Source organism: Homo sapiens, chromosome 2, assembly GCF_000001405.40.
Source record: "Homo sapiens chromosome 2, GRCh38.p14 Primary Assembly".
NCBI lineage: Eukaryota > Metazoa > Chordata > Mammalia > Primates > Hominidae > Homo > Homo sapiens.
In genome coordinates, this window is record NC_000002.12 from 46911460 (window position 1) to 46928959 (window position 17500).

General features: G+C 44.7%; 2 protein-coding genes across 9 annotated transcripts in view, besides 2 other annotated features; one reads left to right on the forward strand and one right to left on the reverse strand.

The window, feature by feature from the left end:
• The window catches only part of MCFD2 (multiple coagulation factor deficiency 2, ER cargo receptor complex subunit), a 39986-nt gene that overhangs the window by 9590 nt on the left and 12896 nt on the right, over positions 1 to 17500 (reverse strand). For 2 of the 7 annotated variants that reach the window (NM_001171509.3, NM_139279.6), the window contains exon 1: positions 4264 to 4347. The exons of 2 other annotated variants lie outside the window; for them this stretch is intronic. The gene's annotated coding sequence lies outside the window, so the exon portion shown is untranslated. Of the gene's footprint in view, positions 1 to 4263; positions 4410 to 4521; positions 4654 to 17500 lie in introns of those variants that run through there. 3 more of the 7 variants (NM_001171507.2, NM_001171506.2, NM_001171510.3) reach the window with 3 other exon arrangements.
• Positions 4334 to 4413: a silencer, noted in NCBI's record as "silent region_11457". NCBI's record gives its function as "represses an Ori minimal core promoter by ATAC-STARR-seq in GM12878 lymphoblastoid cells {active_cell/tissue: GM12878}" and the evidence as "EXISTENCE:reporter gene assay evidence [ECO:0000049][PMID:35858748]".
• The window catches only part of TTC7A (tetratricopeptide repeat domain 7A), a 160258-nt gene continuing 147164 nt past the window's right edge, over positions 4407 to 17500 (forward strand). Inside the window, exons 1-2 of one of the 2 annotated variants that reach the window (NM_001288953.2) lie at positions 4407 to 5118; positions 5725 to 5818. In NM_001288953.2, the coding sequence (NP_001275882.1) occupies positions 5737 to 5818 (82 nt within the window). In that variant the 5' untranslated portion in view covers positions 4407 to 5118; positions 5725 to 5736. The remainder of the gene's footprint in view (positions 5119 to 5724; positions 5819 to 17500) is intronic. The other variant, XM_047445148.1, reaches the window with a different exon arrangement.
• Positions 4417 to 5391: an enhancer, noted in NCBI's record as "H3K27ac hESC enhancer chr2:47143015-47143989 (GRCh37/hg19 assembly coordinates)". NCBI's record gives its function as "activates a minimal SCP1, AML or CMV promoter by ChIP-STARR-seq in naive H9 embryonic stem cells {active_cell/tissue: H9 hESC(naive)}" and the evidence as "EXISTENCE:reporter gene assay evidence [ECO:0000049][PMID:30033119]".

The following is a 17500-nucleotide window of genomic DNA, read 5'->3' on the forward strand; positions in this document are numbered from 1 at the left end:
AAAAAAAAAGCAATATGTCATACTTAATAGGAAAGAATGCTCAATATATATTGAATGAAAAAGAACAGGCTGCAAAAAAGCAATAAAGAATAATACACTTTTGTAAAATAAAAATGTGTATTTCCTACACAAACTAATAACAAAGATTATCTTGAGACATGAGATTAGAATTGTGATTTTCAGCCGGCATGGTGGCTCGTGCCTGTAATCCCAGCACTTTGGGAGGCCGAGGCGGGCAGATCACGAGGTCAGGAGATCGAGACCACCCTGGCTAACACGGTGAAATCCCGTTTCTACTAAAAATACAAAAATAAAAATTAGCCAGGCGTGGTGGCGGGCACCTGTAGTCCCAGCTACTTGGGAGGCTGCGGCAGGAGAATGGCATGAACCCGGAGGTGGAGCCTGCAGTGAGCCGAGATCTGCTACCATTTTTTATGAATATGTATTCAATGTAATCTATCCCATAATTTTGTCCCAATACTATATGGATCGGATACAAAAGGAGTTTCCGGTTAATTCTTATCTCCACAAAATAATTCAGAAACAGTCAGAAACTACACTTCCAATTTTACCAAATAAAAGTGCCCAGACCTTGGCCAGGGACAGTGGCTCACATCTATGATCCCAACACTTCGGGAGGCCGAGGCAAGTGGATCACTTGAGGTCAGGAGTTTGAGACCAGCCTGGCCAATGTGGCAAAATGCGTCTCTACTAAAAATACAAAAAAAAATTTGCTGGGCATGGTGGCGTGCACCTGTAATCCCAGCTATTTGGGAGGCTGAGGCACAAGAATTGCTTGAACCCGGGAGGCAGAGATTGCAGTGAGCCAAGATCACACCACTGCACTCCAGCCTGGGCAAGAGAGTGAGACTGTCTCAAAAAAATTTTTTAAACGTGTCCAGACCCTGACAAGGCCACTGCCACTGTACCTGGTACCACAAAACAAGGTTTCAGGTTACTCCTAGCAGTGACTGCCTAGGCCATAGCAGAACAACTTGTTCTGACCACACATCTTAGAGTTCTGGGACAGGAAGGATCAGAGAAGGGAATCAAGCTCCTCCCAAGCCTTTCAGACTCATTTACATCAAATGTCTCTTTCTCCAGTGAGGTCTTTTCAATTCCAAGTCTGGTGTAGGTATTCGTCCTGCAGGCTCCCAAGTGCTTCCCTTCAGAAGGCTCCCGTCCACAGCTGATGACAGCTGCAAATTAATTCTTTTTTTTCTTTTGTTTTCTTGTGTGTGAATGAATTCTTGAAAAACTGCCTGATTACTTGTCAGTGCCCCTTGCTGGATGGGCTTTAAGAGGACTTGGACTGAATCCACATTCCCAGTATCAGGCACAGTGCCTGGAACAGAAGCTGCTGGTTCTTAGCCTGTGTGCCATGGTCCTTGGGGAGCTGGGGGGATTACCACCTTTGCAGATATGCTGCCAATTTTTAATGTCACTGTAACTGAAGATGAAACTTTTCTTTTGGAGATATCTATCATGGAACTCATGGCACCATTTCCTCCAACTATGTGATTGGATGCTTAGTATATCAATTTGGTGTGTGTGTGTTGGGGGTGGGGGAAATTCTATTTAGATAACACCAAAAAGCAACCAAGTGATTAATCATGTAGTAACTATGAGTCCAAAATATCCCTTCTTTAAGGGAGGTGGGATAAAGGCCAAGAATCACTGATTTTGAACTTGTCTCATTTTGGTTTGCTGTTGCAGGTTTCTAATCATTGGAATGCAACAAAAGCCAAATCGATAAACATAAAGAAAAAAAATTCCTCCAAGTGGTACACTGAAAACAGGGAATCGGGCTGGGCATGGTGGCTTATGCCTGTAATCTCAATACTTTGAGAGGCTGAGGCAAGTGAATCACTTGAGCCCAGGAGTTCAAGACCAGCCTGGACAACATGGTGAGACTCCCTCTCTAATTAGAAAAAGAGAGAGAGAGAGAGGAAGAAAGGAAAGAAGGCAGGCGAGGGAGGGAAAGATAGAAAACAGGGAATCTAACTGCCACCTAACAAATTAAACTGCTGACAGTCAAGAGAAAGCATAAGCAACTCCCTCTACCCAAATAACAGGTTGCATCATCCATGCTCTAACTACTTAGCTCAAGGCCATGGGCTAACAGCCTGAAGATAAGCCCCAGCTCACTGGCCTTCTTTAGGAAATTATAAAGGCCAGGCTGAAGAAAAACCCAACGGAGGAGAAATTTCTGCAAAGGGACTTCAGGGCACAACCCATACCTTGAGACAGCCCTCACAAGGCGCAGCCTCAGTCCTGGGAGGGCAGTGCTGGACCATCAGGAGCAGTGCGCCTCCCAGTGCCTTGGCTGTCACAGTGCTCCCCTCCTGCTCTGCCAGCCTCTTCCTGTACCACAGCCTCCGCTCCTACTGGTTCCATCTGTCCATCTCCAACTTCCTTCCAGGACAGGTTCAAATGTCACCTCAGGATTCTTCCAGCCAAGACCAATTGCTCTCTCATCCGACCTCAGTCTGTAGCCTCTCACACTCATTTGACCTGAACATACGATCACAGGTTGTTCTCCTTTTCCATTTTTCTCTTTTCCTCCCTCTCTGAGAGTCAGGACCCTCTCTCCTCTGGCTCTCATTTACCTTACTGATCTCTGCTGAGCTGACCTGGCTCATCGCTGAATCAGGGAAGTGAGTCTTGGCACCTAGGTGTATTGTTCCCTATCCCACAGCGGATCTAGCCTAAGCTGGAACTTCCTTTGGAGGCTTCCAGTGGTTTGACCTGGCCCAACCCTTTCTTCCTGGTGTGTCATCAGTCCTATCAGCACTAAGTTTGGGGCCAGCCTTCCTGCCAGCAGCTAGTAGCAGCTTCTCCCTCAAGGGGCCCTTGGTTAAGAATTCAAACCCAAAGCAGCCAAACTCACCAACATCCAGACATCCTGTACCCACAGCCAATGCCAAAGAAAAACTGACCAGTACTTTGTCACTTACCCCTGTCATGGTCCTGGAATGAAGGCAAGAAAATAACCAACTTCCTAAGCTAAAGAAACCTCTACACGGACTGAGGGTTGAGAATTGGTTCTGAAAAAGCAGGCATTTAATATTAATAACTTGATCTATTTGTTCATCTAGGGAGCCCAAGGAGCACCCATGCTGCATTTATACATTTAATGACCGTACTAACAGCACAAGGTACTGAAGATAGTACTATGACCTCGACAAACTCCTCTCACACAGATTACAACCTGGTAGAAAAGAGAGACCGGCAGGCAGACACCCATGGGGTACCACGAAATCCCCAACTGACACCTGAAATAACACATAAAGGATAAGAAGGATTATTTCAACCAAAGGACAGTGCCTCAGACATAGCGAACATACTGAAGGAACATGTAAGCCCAGAAGGAACTTGTTCTGATCTAAGAACCAAAAAAGATTCAGTATGGTTGAAGACACAGTACAGTCGAGACAAATGAATCTAAAGTTAAAGGAAGACAGGTCATGAAGGGCTTTGCAAGCCCCGTTCAAGAGCTTGGAAGAGCAATGAGAATCCACCAAAGGGTGATAAGGGAATGGGGGGACGCTTCTGGTCACATGATCAGATTTCTGTTTTAAGACCATGGCTGTAGCCTCTCTGTATAGAACAAACTACAGAGGATGAAGAAGAGATGCAGGGATCATCAGGAAGACACCGAGGTAGTCCAGAGAAGAAAAGGTGGCCTGAACTAGGTAGGGCAGGGGGATGGGACTGGAGAATGAACGTATCCAAGACAACTTTGCAAGGGATTCGATGTGGGTGGGTAAAGGAGTGAAGCAAGTGAGAATGATGCCCAATTCTGGCTTGGGCACCCGGGTGGATGGCCATGCCCAGAGAGGGAATACAACAGGAGATCAGCTTCCCCCGCCGGGCCCGACAGGACCTGTGGTCTCCCCGAGAGAGGGAACAAGGAGCAGAGGGAGAGTAAGGCTTCCGGCCCGCTGCTTTTGGGCCGGGCCAGGAGCAGTGTCCACCCGACACAGCTGGTCCCACAGGCCGATCCTCGGGCCCCTAGGGACCAGGGAAGGGGGCGGAGATCTGCCCAGTCGGCCCCGTCTGGCTCCAGAGCCCCCGGTGGGGCACAGGCTTCCGCCCCGGGAGACAGGCCGTGCTCCTAGCCGGTTAAGCGTCCCGAGACGGCCTGGGGGCCCAGCCCGCGCCCCCAGACTACTCCTGCCTCTCATCTTGAGCCCAAGCCTCCAGCCCACAGGAGAGGCGCCGGGATCCCGCCCGCTGCGGAGAGTGCGCTAGTTCACTCACCCTTACGGTCTCCGAAGCAGACGCGAAGCCCTCCAACGTGAGCCTCACCAGCCCCCGTCCCCAAAACGCTCTTCCTCGGCTTCGCCCCGCCCCCCCCCCCCCCCCGACCTGCCCTGCGCACGCGCGCTCCCTGCCGCCCGCCCATTGGCGCCGCCGGGCCCCTCCCGCTGGCGGCGGCGGGCTGTGAGGACGGCTCGCGTGAGTCCACGTGTAATCGGCCCGGGCCCAGCACTGGCGGGACTGACGCAGTTCTTCTACCTGCTTTCCCAAGGGCGACACTCGGCTCCACTCCAGTTGGGCCGCTGGACGCCCTAGGGGCCCGGCAGTTGCTAGGCAACGCCGGAAGCCCTCAGGAACGTAGTTCCACGGGCGACGTAGGATGGCGGATCCGGATGGGGCGGACCCCAAAGCTGGCTCCCAACTCCGCTCACCCCCTCCTATACAGGGCTCTTGGTTCAGGTCTCTTGGTTCGTCCTGCTGCAAGTTGGGAAGAAAGATAATAGGAATGCTAATTCCTTCTTGATGAAACGACCACAACACGCTGGAGCCGGCCTTGGACCCTACGTTTCAAGATTGGCCTGCTTCCAGCGTCTGCCAGCTCCACTGCACAAGCTGCGGCAGCCGCTGTCCCCGTTCGCTTCCACGGGAGTCCCAGCAAGACTATGCGACCCAGTTCAAATACCATCTTCCATGTACCGTTCGTGAAATCAGCAGCTTTTGACATTCAAGAGAGGACAGATTACTTAAAAACAGACTCATGAACAAATAGGGAAACGAATACATCATCCCTGTATCGAATTCATCCCTGTATAATCCTGCCCTTACACCTGTGCTCCTATACAAGATTAACATTCAGTAAGTATCCATTGACCTGATGGATAAATGAGTGTAGGACGGTCGTTTTGTTTTTTTGTTTTGTTTTGTTTTGTTTTGAGACGGAGTCTCGCTCTGTCCCAGGCTGGAGTGCAGTGGTGGGATCTCGGCTCACTGCAACCTCCGCCTCCCAGGTTCAAGCTCTTCTCCTACCTCAGCCTCCCGAGTAGCTGGGATTACAGGCGCGTGCCACCTTGCCCGGCTAATTTTTGTATTTTTAGTAGAGACGGGGTTTCACCGTGTTGGCCAGGCTGGTCTCTAACTGCTGACCTCTTGATCCTCCCGCCTCAGCCTCCCAAAGTGCTGGGATTACAGGCGTGAGCCACCACTCCCGGCAGGACGGTCGTTTTTTTTAAAGCCCTTCTCCCATTTCTGTCCATAAAGGTACATAATCGTTTTTCAAATGAGCCTGGGTCCGGACAGGAAAGACAAAGAAAGTGGCTAAGTAGTTAGATGCCTTGAAAGTTGCCTAACGCCACTGCCATTGACGGTCTCATTCCTTTTCCCACCTTCATCTGAGATTGAAATCTGCCACCCCATCCCAGAGAAAAATCCCATAATCCCTAATTTTTTTTTCTTTTTTTAAAGAAAAGAGTCTCCATGGTGCCCAGCTCGTCTCGAACTCCTGGGTTCAAGCAATCCTCCCACCACCTCCGCCTCCCAAAGTGCTGGGATTACAGGGGTGAGCCACCGCGCCGGGACAAAGAATCCCTAAGTTTTGAGGAAACCCTATTAATTCAAGACCCATTCTTCTTTCCTTACTCTGAACTTTGGATTAGTTTGATCTAGTTCCTCCTTCTACCCTGCATCTGCCATTCATCCATCTCTTCATCCATTCATCCACCCCTCCCTTTGTTCATTTATTCATTCAATAACATTTCTTGAATATCTTCTATGTACTAGGCGCTCTACTAGGAGCTACTAGAGATACAAATAAGACAAATGAAGTGTCAAGAAGCTGGTGTCTGGTAGATGGATAAAGTGTCCTCATTCTAGCCAGTGCTTTCATTTTTTTCCTATGGATGTTATCCTGTGTTATGTCTCTCTTGAATCTACAGTCACTCCCTCTCTACCAGATAATTCCCATCAACATATAAACTTGCTGTATTTTCTCCCCCACCATACCACTGAAACTGCAATCTCCATGCAAATCTAGTGGTCTCTTTGATCTCTTGTTTTTATTTTACTTGCCCTCTCAACACTGTTTTATCAAAGCCAACCACTCTCACTTAGAAACACTTTCTTCTCTTGTTTTCTGACACCACACACTCTGGGTCCTTCTGCTACCTCACTCATTATCCTTTCTTGGGCTTCTTAATTGGCTTCTCAATCTATAATTATCAAAGTGTCCAGGGTTCTGTTCTGAGTCACCTTCTCTATCCACCCTCCCTATGTGAGTTTACCTAGTCCTGTGCTTTAGATACCATTTATAAATAGATGACTCCAAAATATGTCTCTCTGACAATGACCTCTCTGTGTAATTCCTGGCTCCTGTAAATAACTGCCTACTTGATGTCTCCATATGAATGTCAGACTGGCATCTCAAACTTAATGTGTCCCCCCAAAATCTTGATTTTCACCCCCAAACCTGCACCTCTCTCAGTCTTGTGCATTTTAGTAAATGTCACTGGTACTCATTCTGTTGTTCAAGCTAAAATTCTACGAGCTGTTTTTGATTTATCTCATCCCTTTACCTTTAAATCCTTCAGCAAAGCCTGTTGATGCTATCAAAATGTATCCTGAGTCTTTGACTTCTTTCCACCTCCACTAAACCATCTAGTCCAGTAGTAGATGATGCTGCTGGACTACTTGAGAGAGAGCTTCCTAACTGACCGTCCTGCTTCCATTCTTGCCCTACTGTAGTCCATAAGTGAGAAGCCACCTTTGATTAAGCCATTTTATAGGTGGGTGTTCTGTAACTTGTAGCTGAACCCATTCCTAACAGGCAAATAATTTGGTACCAGAAGCAGGATGCTAAAAACAAGACACTAAAATATGGAATTGGCTAACTGGAGGTTAAGGTAGCCAGTGTTAAAAGACTGTATGTCAAACTGGAAAGTTGGTGACCCTTATAAGCCGTAGTGAAACTGTCACTTGCTGGACCTTGGATATAGGCCACATGCCAACCAATGCTATATTTTTGGAGAAATCTCACGAGCAATATGGAACATTAGTGAGTGTTGCCTTTTTTAGTAGCTTTCAGCAGACTCCTTCAAGAGAAGGGCAACTCTACGTTGGAAATAACTGATTTGAAAGCAGAGATTAAAGAAAGTAACGACTAGGTAAGAGAGGATCTCTTTACCTGCAACCAGGAGTCTCATAACTTGGAACCTTGCTGAAATACCCCATTTACTTTGTGTACTCAGGTTGAAACTAGTACAAGTAGAGACAGAGAGGTGGCTTTATCAGGAGATAGGACGGCCATCCCAAGATACCAGAATGGCCTCTAGGTGGCATCTCTTTCCTCAGCTGTTTTGAATTGTCTCAAGACAATGTTTTACCTATGTAGGGGATTCCAGAGTGGATGAGAATAGGGGTGAAAATAAGATTTCAATTTACACCTTTTAGTATTGCTTTGATGTTGTAAACTACATATTACTTATTTGGAAAAATAAATAGAAAAATATTGAATAAAAACAATTTAAAGACTCTAGATAGGCTGGGTGTGGTGGCTCACGCCTGTAATCCCAGCACTTTGGGAGGCCGAGGCGGCAAATCACCTCAGGTCAGGAGTTCGAGACCAGCCTGGCCAGCATGGTGAAACCCTGTCTCTACTAAAAATACAAAATTAGCTGGGTGTGGTGACGCATGCTTGTAATCCCAGATACTCGGGAGGCTGAAGCAGGAGAATTGCTTGAACCCGGGCAGCAGAGGTTGAGGTGAGCTGAGATCGCACCATTGCTCTTCAGCCTGGGCAGCAAGAGCTAAACTCTGTCTCTAAATAAATAAATAAGACTTTAGGTAAGTTATTTGTGATTACTATACATGAAATTGATCAGAAGTCTAACAAATGATTGAGGTAATCCTGTGTCCCTAAAATCTCAAGCCTGGTTAACAACAGTCTCTTGCTGTTGGGCCCTGTGGTAATCTCTGAACCCTGGAATTCCTTCTAACAGGGAGTAGGATGCAAAAGGTGTGCGTTCTGCACAAGTAGAGGAAAAAACAAGGGTGCGGCTTCCAGATTCTCCAACTGAGAACTTAATACACTGCCACCAAAGAAACTGCAGTTTCTTTTGTTTAGAGAAAAGGTCTTGCTCTATCACCCTTGCATTGGATGAGGGTGACCTCAATGGGTTGCATGTTCTAGGCTCCCCTGTCAGCTGGGATGGGGCTTTGTATTTCTCTCTCCCTTATTCATATTTCTGATAAGGGTGAACTGTGGTGTTAAAAGCTTGGAATTTTGGCATGTGTTGTGTTGTTCTGAATTCAGATATACTATAAACTGGGGTGGTGAATATGATGGCCATCTGCATTTGATGACCTTGTTTCTTCCGTCCCTGACTTTATCAAAGCACACATCACTCCTAATGAAAAGTCTGACTGTTGATTTCTTCAAATTCATGTTGGGGGAAGGTATATATATTAATTATGTATACATTAATACATAATGTATGTATTAAATCACATAAATTAGCATTCTTTAGTATCCCTTTTGTCTCGCTCTCCTTTCTCATCATGTTGTTGTTGTTTGGAGTTTTTGACATTAGTTATTCTAGATAAACATTCTCTTCTTCAGTCTTAGCCTTTTTTTTGAGACAGAGTCTTGCTCAATTGCCCAGGCTGGAGTACAGTGGCACGATCTTAGCTCACTGCAATCTTTGCCTCCTGGGTTCAAGCAGTTCTCCTGCCTCAGCCTCCCAAGTTGCTGGGATTACAGGCAACAACCACCACGCCCAGCTAATTTTTTGTATTTTTAGTAGAGATGGGGTTTCACCATGTTGGCCAGGCTGGTCTTGAACTCCTGAACTCACGTGATCTGCCTGCCTCAGCCTCCCAAAGTGCTGAGATTATAGGCATGAACCACCATGCCTGGCCTTAGTCTTAGGCTTTTTTGAAAAAAAAAAAAAATAGATAAATTTATCAAAAATTTTGATCACCCTGACATCCCATATCTCTTGAAATTTTTCCTGAACTTGCCTATCTACTTGAACACTTCCTTCAAAGGCATTTTCATGATGAATTTTATGTGGCAAACTTCTGAGGTCTCCCCTGCCTGAGGATATTTGTATTACTCTCACATTAAAATGAAAATGTGGCTGTCTACAAAACTTCAGAGTTATTTTCCTTCGGTACTTAAAGAAATAAATATATGATCATAAGAAAAACTATATGATAATTTTAAAAAGGCATCTGACAAAATTTAATCCCTATTCATGATAAAAAAAAAAAAAACTTTCAGCAAACTGAGAATAGAGGGATACTTTCTCAGCCTGACAGGGCATCTGTTAAAAACCCACAGTTAATATTCTTAGAGTGAAAGACTGAATGCTTTTCCCTTAATATCAGGAACAAAGCAAGGATGTCCACCTTCAACACTATTGAAAGTGCTTTAGTATATTCATTATACTAGAGCTTTAAGCCGTTAGAGAACAAGATATAAAAGGCATGCAGACTGGGAAGAAAAAGTAAAAGTATCTTTATTCACAGATAATATGATCATGCACATAGAAAATCCTAAATAACGTAGAAAAAAGCTACTAGAGCTATTGATTTAGCACTGTCACAGGATACATTATACAATTAATGGTATGTCTATATATGAGCAATAAGCAAGTAGAAATGGAAATGCTTAAAATACCATTATAATAGCATCCCAGAACATGAAATACTCAGGGGCAAGTCTAATTCAGTTATTGAAAGCATACTTTGTCTTAATAGTCTAGTCATTCTGTTCTCTGAAGTTCTTGTGCTCTAGTCCTGCAATAGTGTCTACTCTTTTGTCTCTTGTCAAAGCATAACTCAAAGACAATAGTTATCTTCATGCAAATGATATGCTCACTTTAAAGAAAATAGTCATTAAACTCTATCAACAAAAAAAGGATCTGTAAGACAGAAATCCCCAACTTTTTGGCACCAGGGACCAGTTTCATGGAAGACAATTTTTCCATGGAAGTGGTTGGGGGAGGGACAATGGTTTCAAAATGAAACTGTTCTACCTCAGATCATCAGGCATTAGTTAGATTCTCATAAGGAGTGTGCAACCTAGATCCCTTACATGCGCAGTTCACAGTAGGGTTCGCGTTCCTGTGAGAATCTCATGCCGCCACCGCTGATCTGACACTGACAGGAGGCATAGCTCAGGTTGGTAATGCTCACTCGCCCACCCAGTGCTCACTTCCTGCTGTGCAGCTGACCCACACTAGTTGGGGGGTGAGGGCCCCTGTAAGAAATAAGGGAGATAACAATAAAAAACTAAAGACATACTGGGAACGATAAGTTTTTGGATTTTTTTGGTTTTATATTTGAGTGGAGGAAAGCTGATTAGCTGGCATCCAGCAAAGAGTCTAGTCTGTGAAGCGTGCCCTTGAGCAGGCTGGCTAGGGTCATCAAACAACAACTTTAGTTACTTATAGATTCTGATGACCTGGAGATTTTAACCGTGGAGTATTTGTGCCAGGCTGATACTATAATGTTGCATTAGGCCTATACCATTTCCTCCTCAGAATTTCTCAGCACTTACTCATGGTTGATTATTTCCTTGAGCGTTTTTATAATTTTTGATGACGAGTTCATTTTTAGTGGGGCTTTGTCTATGGGAGTCCTATGTGGCCTGGGCTGAGGCTATGTTTCCTCAAAGAGCTTTGATGTTTGCTTCTATCTGCCTGCTATACATTTTTAGTTATTTTTTTAACTTGTGGGTTCCTGGTTTATATAGGTAGTATTAGACTAAACTCCAGACCTGAGTGCGGGCAGAGTGTAATTATAAATGCTCAGGGAAAATTTTTTTTTCCCCAGTCAAGGGGGCAAGGCCAAGATATACAGCTTTACTGTGTTTCTCTGTGCATCTCTGCAAATTTTGTTTCTGGTTCATATGTACTTCAATCCCTGAAGGTGTGAGAGGTAGAAACCACTCAGAGTTTCTCCCATTCTCTCACTCAACAACAAAAAACACGGAAGACATCTCTACCAAAATGTGGGGAGGGGCGGGGGGCTCTTCCCACACTGGAGGAAGCACATCAATTCTGCAGCAGACACCAGCTGGGAGGCCTCCAATTCAATTCAATTCTGATGCCATCTACCTAGAGATAACCTCAGAAACCGCAGGTTGAGGGTTCAGTTTTACAAAACAGCCCTCTCTTTCCCACCAGTCGCAAGTCCAAGGCCCCTAAAACATCTGACTGAATAGCTTTTAGATGGATTTCCCAAGACCCCCTCTTTATTACAGTTTATTACAAAGGCTATTTTAAAGTATACGAATAAACAGCCAGATGAAGAGATACATAGGGTGAGGTCTGGAAGGGTCCTGAGCACAGGTGCTTCTGTCCCCATGGAGTTGGAGTGCACCACCCTCCTGGCCTGTGGATGTCTTCTCATTCATCTTCCTGTCAGCCTCCATGTGTTCAGCTCTCTGGAAGCTCTCCAAGCCCTGTTATTTTGGATTTTTATGGAGGCTTTATTACATAGGCACAGTTGACCAAACCATTAGTCATTGGTGATCAACTTAACCTTCAGCCCCTCTCTCCTCCCTGGAGGTTGGAGGTGGGGCTAAGAGTCCCAACCTTCTAATCACACCTTGGTCTTTCCAGTAAAGAGCTGTCATTCTGAATTACCTGGGGGCTGCCAGCCATCAGTCAACCATTAGCTTACAAGAAGACATCACTGTGGAGTCTTTAAGGATTGTAGGAGTTGTATGCTAGAAAACAGGGTCAAAGACCAAATATATATTTCACAATATCACAGAAGGTATAGGCCTTGGAGAGTCCTAGCCATATGTGAAAGTATCAGACCTGTCTCTTTACTCTTTTTAACACAAAATTTCTTCCCTTGTTGCAGTCTCCATTAAAACTCAGAATTGACCAGGTGTGATGGTTCATGCCTGTAATCCTAACATCTTGGGAGGCCGAGACAGGAGAATCGCTCAAGTCCAGGAGTTTGAGACCAGCCTGCACAACATAGGAAGACCCTGTCTCTATAGAAAAACTTTTTTTTTTTTGGAGACAAAGTCTCACTCTTGTCCACCAGGCTGGAGTGCAATGGCGCCATCTCAGCTCACTGCAACCTCTGCCTCCCAGGTTCAAGCAAATCTCTTGCCTCAGCCTCCAGAGTAGCTGGGATTACAGGCGCCTGCCACCACGCCCAGCTAATTTTCTTTGTATTTTTAGCAGAGACGGAGTTTCACCATGTTGGCCAGGCTGGTCTCGAACTCCTGACCTCAGGTGATCCACCCGCCTCGGCCTCCCAAAGTGCTGGGATTACAGGTGTGAGCCACTGTGCCCGGCCTATAGAAAATTTTTTAAAAAATAGCCAGGCGTGGTGGTGTGGGCCTGTAGTCCAGCTACCCAGGAGGCAGAGGTGAGAGGATCGCCTGGGCCCAGGAAGTCAAGGCTGCAGTGAGCTATGATCCTGCCACTGCACTCCAGTCTGGGTGACAGAATGAGATCCTGTCTCTTTAAAAAAAAAAAAAACCCAACTAAAGGAACCAAAAAAAAAAAATCTCAAAGTCCCTGTAAACCAGTAAAACTGTAAACCCCCCAGGGAAGCCTTGGTATCAGCTCATCAACATTCTTCCCTTCTCTCCACTAAGTTAGCTCCTTCTTAATTTTTTGAATATTGAGAATTTTCCCTACTTTATTGTGAGCTTAGCTCTCCAATTAACTGAAAGCTTGGGTTTTACATTTATGGAATATAATCATATTTGTGAAGAATTTATATTTTGTATTTGAGTATAATAATATTCTAAAGAAAAATTATAAAATATATTGAGTATGAGTGTTTTGAATAGAATATGAGAAGAAAACTTGAAGAAAATCTGGAATAAAAATATACCATGTGATATTCATAAGAGTACCTTACTATTCATTGGATATTTTCTTTTTTTTTTTTCCCCTGGAGATAGGGTCTTGCTCTGTCACCCTGGCTGGAGCGCAGTGGTGCGATCTCAGCACACTGCAGCCTCAACCTCCTGGGCTCAAGCCATCCTCCTGCCTCAGGCCCTGGAATAGCTGGGACTACAGGCACACTGCCAGCACGCCTGGCTAATTTTTGTATTTTTTGTAGAGACAAGGTTTCACCATGTTGGCCAGGCTGGACTCGAGCTCTGGGCTCAAGCAATCTGCCTGCCTTGGCCTTCCAGAGTCCTAGGATTATGAGCGTGAGCCAGCCTGCCACAGCCTTCATTGGATATTTTCAAGAGTACTCTTAGTTTTTGGTAAATCATACATTTGGCAAATGGGGTAGCTTGGATACTGAAGTAACTAATCCTTCAACAAATTGGCCTTTAGGGATATGGGCTGCTGCCATTCAGCTTTCAGTATTTTTCTGTAATACAGATCTGTTTGTTGCACTGCACTTGGTTTTCAATTATTTATTTATTTATTTCAGTGATGGGGGTTGTCTGGCTATGTTCCCCAGGCTAGATTTGAACTTCTGGGTTTAAGCGATCTTCCCACCTCAGCATCCTGAGTAGCTGGGACTACCGGCATGCACCACCACACCCACTTGTTTTTTTAACAATATGTTGAGCTGGGTGCAGTGGCTCATGCCTATAATCCCAGCACTTTGGGAGGCTAAGGTGGGCGGATCACTTGAGGTCAGGAGTTCGAGACTAACCTAGCCAACATGGTGAAACCCCATCTCTACTAAAAATACAAAAATTAGCCGGGCATGGTGGTGGGCGCTTGTAATCCCAGCTACTTGGGAGGCTGAGGCAGGAGAATCTATTGAACCTGGGAGGCGGAGGTTGCAGTGAGCTGAGATTACACCACTGCACTCCAGCCTGGGCAACAAAGTGTCTCAATAAATAAATAAATAAATAATATGTTGACACATGCCTGGTCAGAATAAATTAACCTGACTGTATCAACTGACTCATTTGATGTGAAAAGGCAATTCACAAACCAGTTCCTAAGCTGACTTCTCCCCTGCCACCTCCCCCAAAAAAACCCATGTTTATTTTTCATTTTTCCCTAAGCAACATTAATAATTGATTCTGGCTAGGGAAAGACCATGTTAACCCCCGTTGAAAGGGATTAAAAGTCAATGGAAGATAAAAATAAAGTGGCTTTTGTGGATACAACCCATACTTCCTATGTGTTCAGCATACCAGTTCCACAAGATTCCTTTCTTAAAAACCATTCTGCCTTGAGTTCTTAGATACACTACAACAGTGCCACCCAGGTGTCAGCTAAGATCTTATTTTTTGGAGGTCTGGGTATAATGGGATCAGACTTAACCTGGAAAGTTTGGGTTTGTCCGGTAATATCTGCTCATTCTCAGAGACTTACTCACTTGAGGTGCCCTTAGTCTCTTATTTCTGTGTCTGTTTTGCTTCCCACCCTGCCCCCTCATCAGTGAGGATGCAGAAATCAGCATTTCTTAGCATTCCCTCCACAGAAGAATCTCCTCCCACACAGAGCAGTTGTGAGTCGTGAAGACTTTACTGAAGCCTTACCATCTCCTCAGAGTGGAGCAGTGCTAGATGGTCGGGGAGACATATTTAGTTAATTTTGGTTTAGTTCCACACACTGAGTATATGCCATTGCCCAGGTACTGTGCTAAACAGTGGAGATCGGAGTAAGTGATGCTCCCTATCCTCAAGATACAGTCTAGATGGGGAGAGAATGTAAAATAATATGGTAAATGGTAAATGCTTGTTAGAGCCCAGGTCGCCATGGGAGCACACAGTGGGGGCACTTAAGCCTATGGTGAGGATAGGGAGAGTCAAGGAAGACTTCCCTCTATGATAAAATAGAGGAGTGAATAGATGAGCCTTCTCATGGACCACAGCCGAATGTCAATTGGTCTGAGTTGAGAAACTCTCAAGCCCAGATTTTTTGAATAAGGTGATTTCAGATTGGTAGAGCCCCCCCAGGTGCCTAGAAAAAGCAACTGGACGTCCTTTCAGAAGAATATAAAATTATCCTAAGCATCAGATGATTTCTACAATAATTTTTCAAATGCAATGTCCTACACAATTAAAGACAACTAGACATGAGGAAACAAGACAGTGTGAACACAAACTAGAAGAAAGAGCAATCAACGGACCTCCACAGCTTGAGACACTGGAATTCTCAGACAGAGGTTGTTAAACACTGCTTACTATCTTCAAAGAAATAAAAGCCAAATTTAAAAATTTTCACATGGGAGCTAAAAGCTACAAAAAGTAACAAAACATTAGAAAAAAGAACTAAATAGAAATTTGTGAACAGAAAAATATAACGGATAGATTGAACTACAGTTTAGACACACGAAAAGAGAGAATCAGTAAATTGGAAAATATGCCAGAGGAAACTATTGTATCTAGAATGAAGAGAGACAAAAAGATAGAAAATACAAAAGGATAAGAGTCACAGAGAATTCAGTGAGGTCTTACTTGTATGTAGTTGGAGTCACAGGAGGAGAGGAGAGAATGAGCAAAGACAGTATTTGAAGAGATAATATCTAAAAATTTTCCAGAACCAATGAAAGATTACAAGATCAGGATCAAAAAGAGTGACAAATCCCAAGCAAAGTTAATGAAAAGAAACCTAAGCTAAGCACATTAAAATAAGTCTGTAGAAAACCAAAGAAAAATAATATTAAAGATAGAGGAGAAAAAAAGATTTTTTTTTTTTTTTTTTTGAGATGGAGTCTCGTTCTGTTGCCCAGGCTGGAGTGCAGTGGCGTGATCTCGGCTCACTGCAGGCTCCACCTCCCGGGTTCACACCATTCTCCCACCTCAACCTCCAGAGTAGCTGGGACTACAGGCATCCGCCACCACGCCCGGCTAATTTTGTTTTTGTGTTTTTAGTGGAGACAGGGTTTCACCGTGTTAGCCAGGATGGTCTCAATCTCCTGACCTCGTGATCTGCTCTCCTCGGCCTCCCAAAGTGCTGGGATTACAGGCATGAGCTACCGCGCCCGGCAAAAAAAAGATTATTATTAAAGGAGCAACAGACGGCTGACTTCTCACAACAGGAACAGTGGAAGCCAGAAAACAGTATATCTTCAAAGTGCAAAAGAAAACTGCTCACCTAAAATACTACAGCCAGCTAAAATATCCTTCAAGAGTAAACGTGAGAAGACATTTTTAGAAAAAAACTGAGTGATTTATCCACCAGCAGAAACACTAATATTGGGGTTTTTTTGGTGTTTTTTTTTTTTTTTTTTTTTTTTTTTGAGACAGGGTCTCACTCTGTCACCCAGGCTGGAGTATAGTGGCACGGTCATGGCTCACTGCAGCCTCAACTTCCTGGGCTCAAGTGATCCTCCCACCTCTGCCTCCTAAGTAGCTGACCACTGGCATACACCACCACGCCCAGCTAGTTTTTGCATTTTTTGTAGAGACGGGTTTTTGCCATGTTGCCCAGGCTGGTCTCTAACTCCTCGGCTCAGGTGATCTGCCCACCTTAACCTCCCAAAGTGCCGGGATTACAGGCGTGAGTCATTGCACCCAGCCTTGTATTAGTTTTCTCTTTCTGCATAACAAATTACTACCAGTTTTGCAGCTTAAAATAACACCCATTTATCATCTCACAGTTCTGTAGATCAGAAATCTAGGCAGGTTGTGAAAAAACATTACAAAAAAAAGAAAAAGAACTCCAGGCCAGGATCAACTATGTCCTCCACACAGTATCACAAGACTGAAATCAGGGTGTTAACTGAGGCTAGAATCTCATGTGAGGCTCAAAGCCCTCTTTCAAGCTCAGGTGGTGGAAAGGGAAATTAAAAAAAAAAAAAAAAAAAAAAAAAACTTGGGCCATGTGTGGTGGCTCACACTTATATCCAGCACTGTGGGAAGCCGAGACAGGTGGATTGCTGGAACTCAGGAGTTCGAGACCAACCTAGGCAACATGGCAAAACCCTGTCTCTACGAAAAATATAAAAATTGACCAGATGTGGTGACACACACCTGTGGTCCCAGCTGTTTGGGAGACTGAGGTTGGAGGATGGCTTGAACACAGGAGGTTGAGGCTGCAGTGAGCTGTGATTGCACTACTGCACTCCAGCGTGGGTAATGTGAGACTGTTTCAAAAGAAAAAAAAAAAGTCCCACGTTTGAAATCATATAAAGTTTACTCACTGGTATAATGCAGTTACACCAGAGGGGTAGGGGGGGAAGCTTTAAAAGCCACATTTATTTTGAAATTTAAAAACACTTCTAGTCATGCCTGCAATCCCAGCACTTTGGGAGGCTGAGGTGGGTGGATTACTTGAGGTGAGGATTT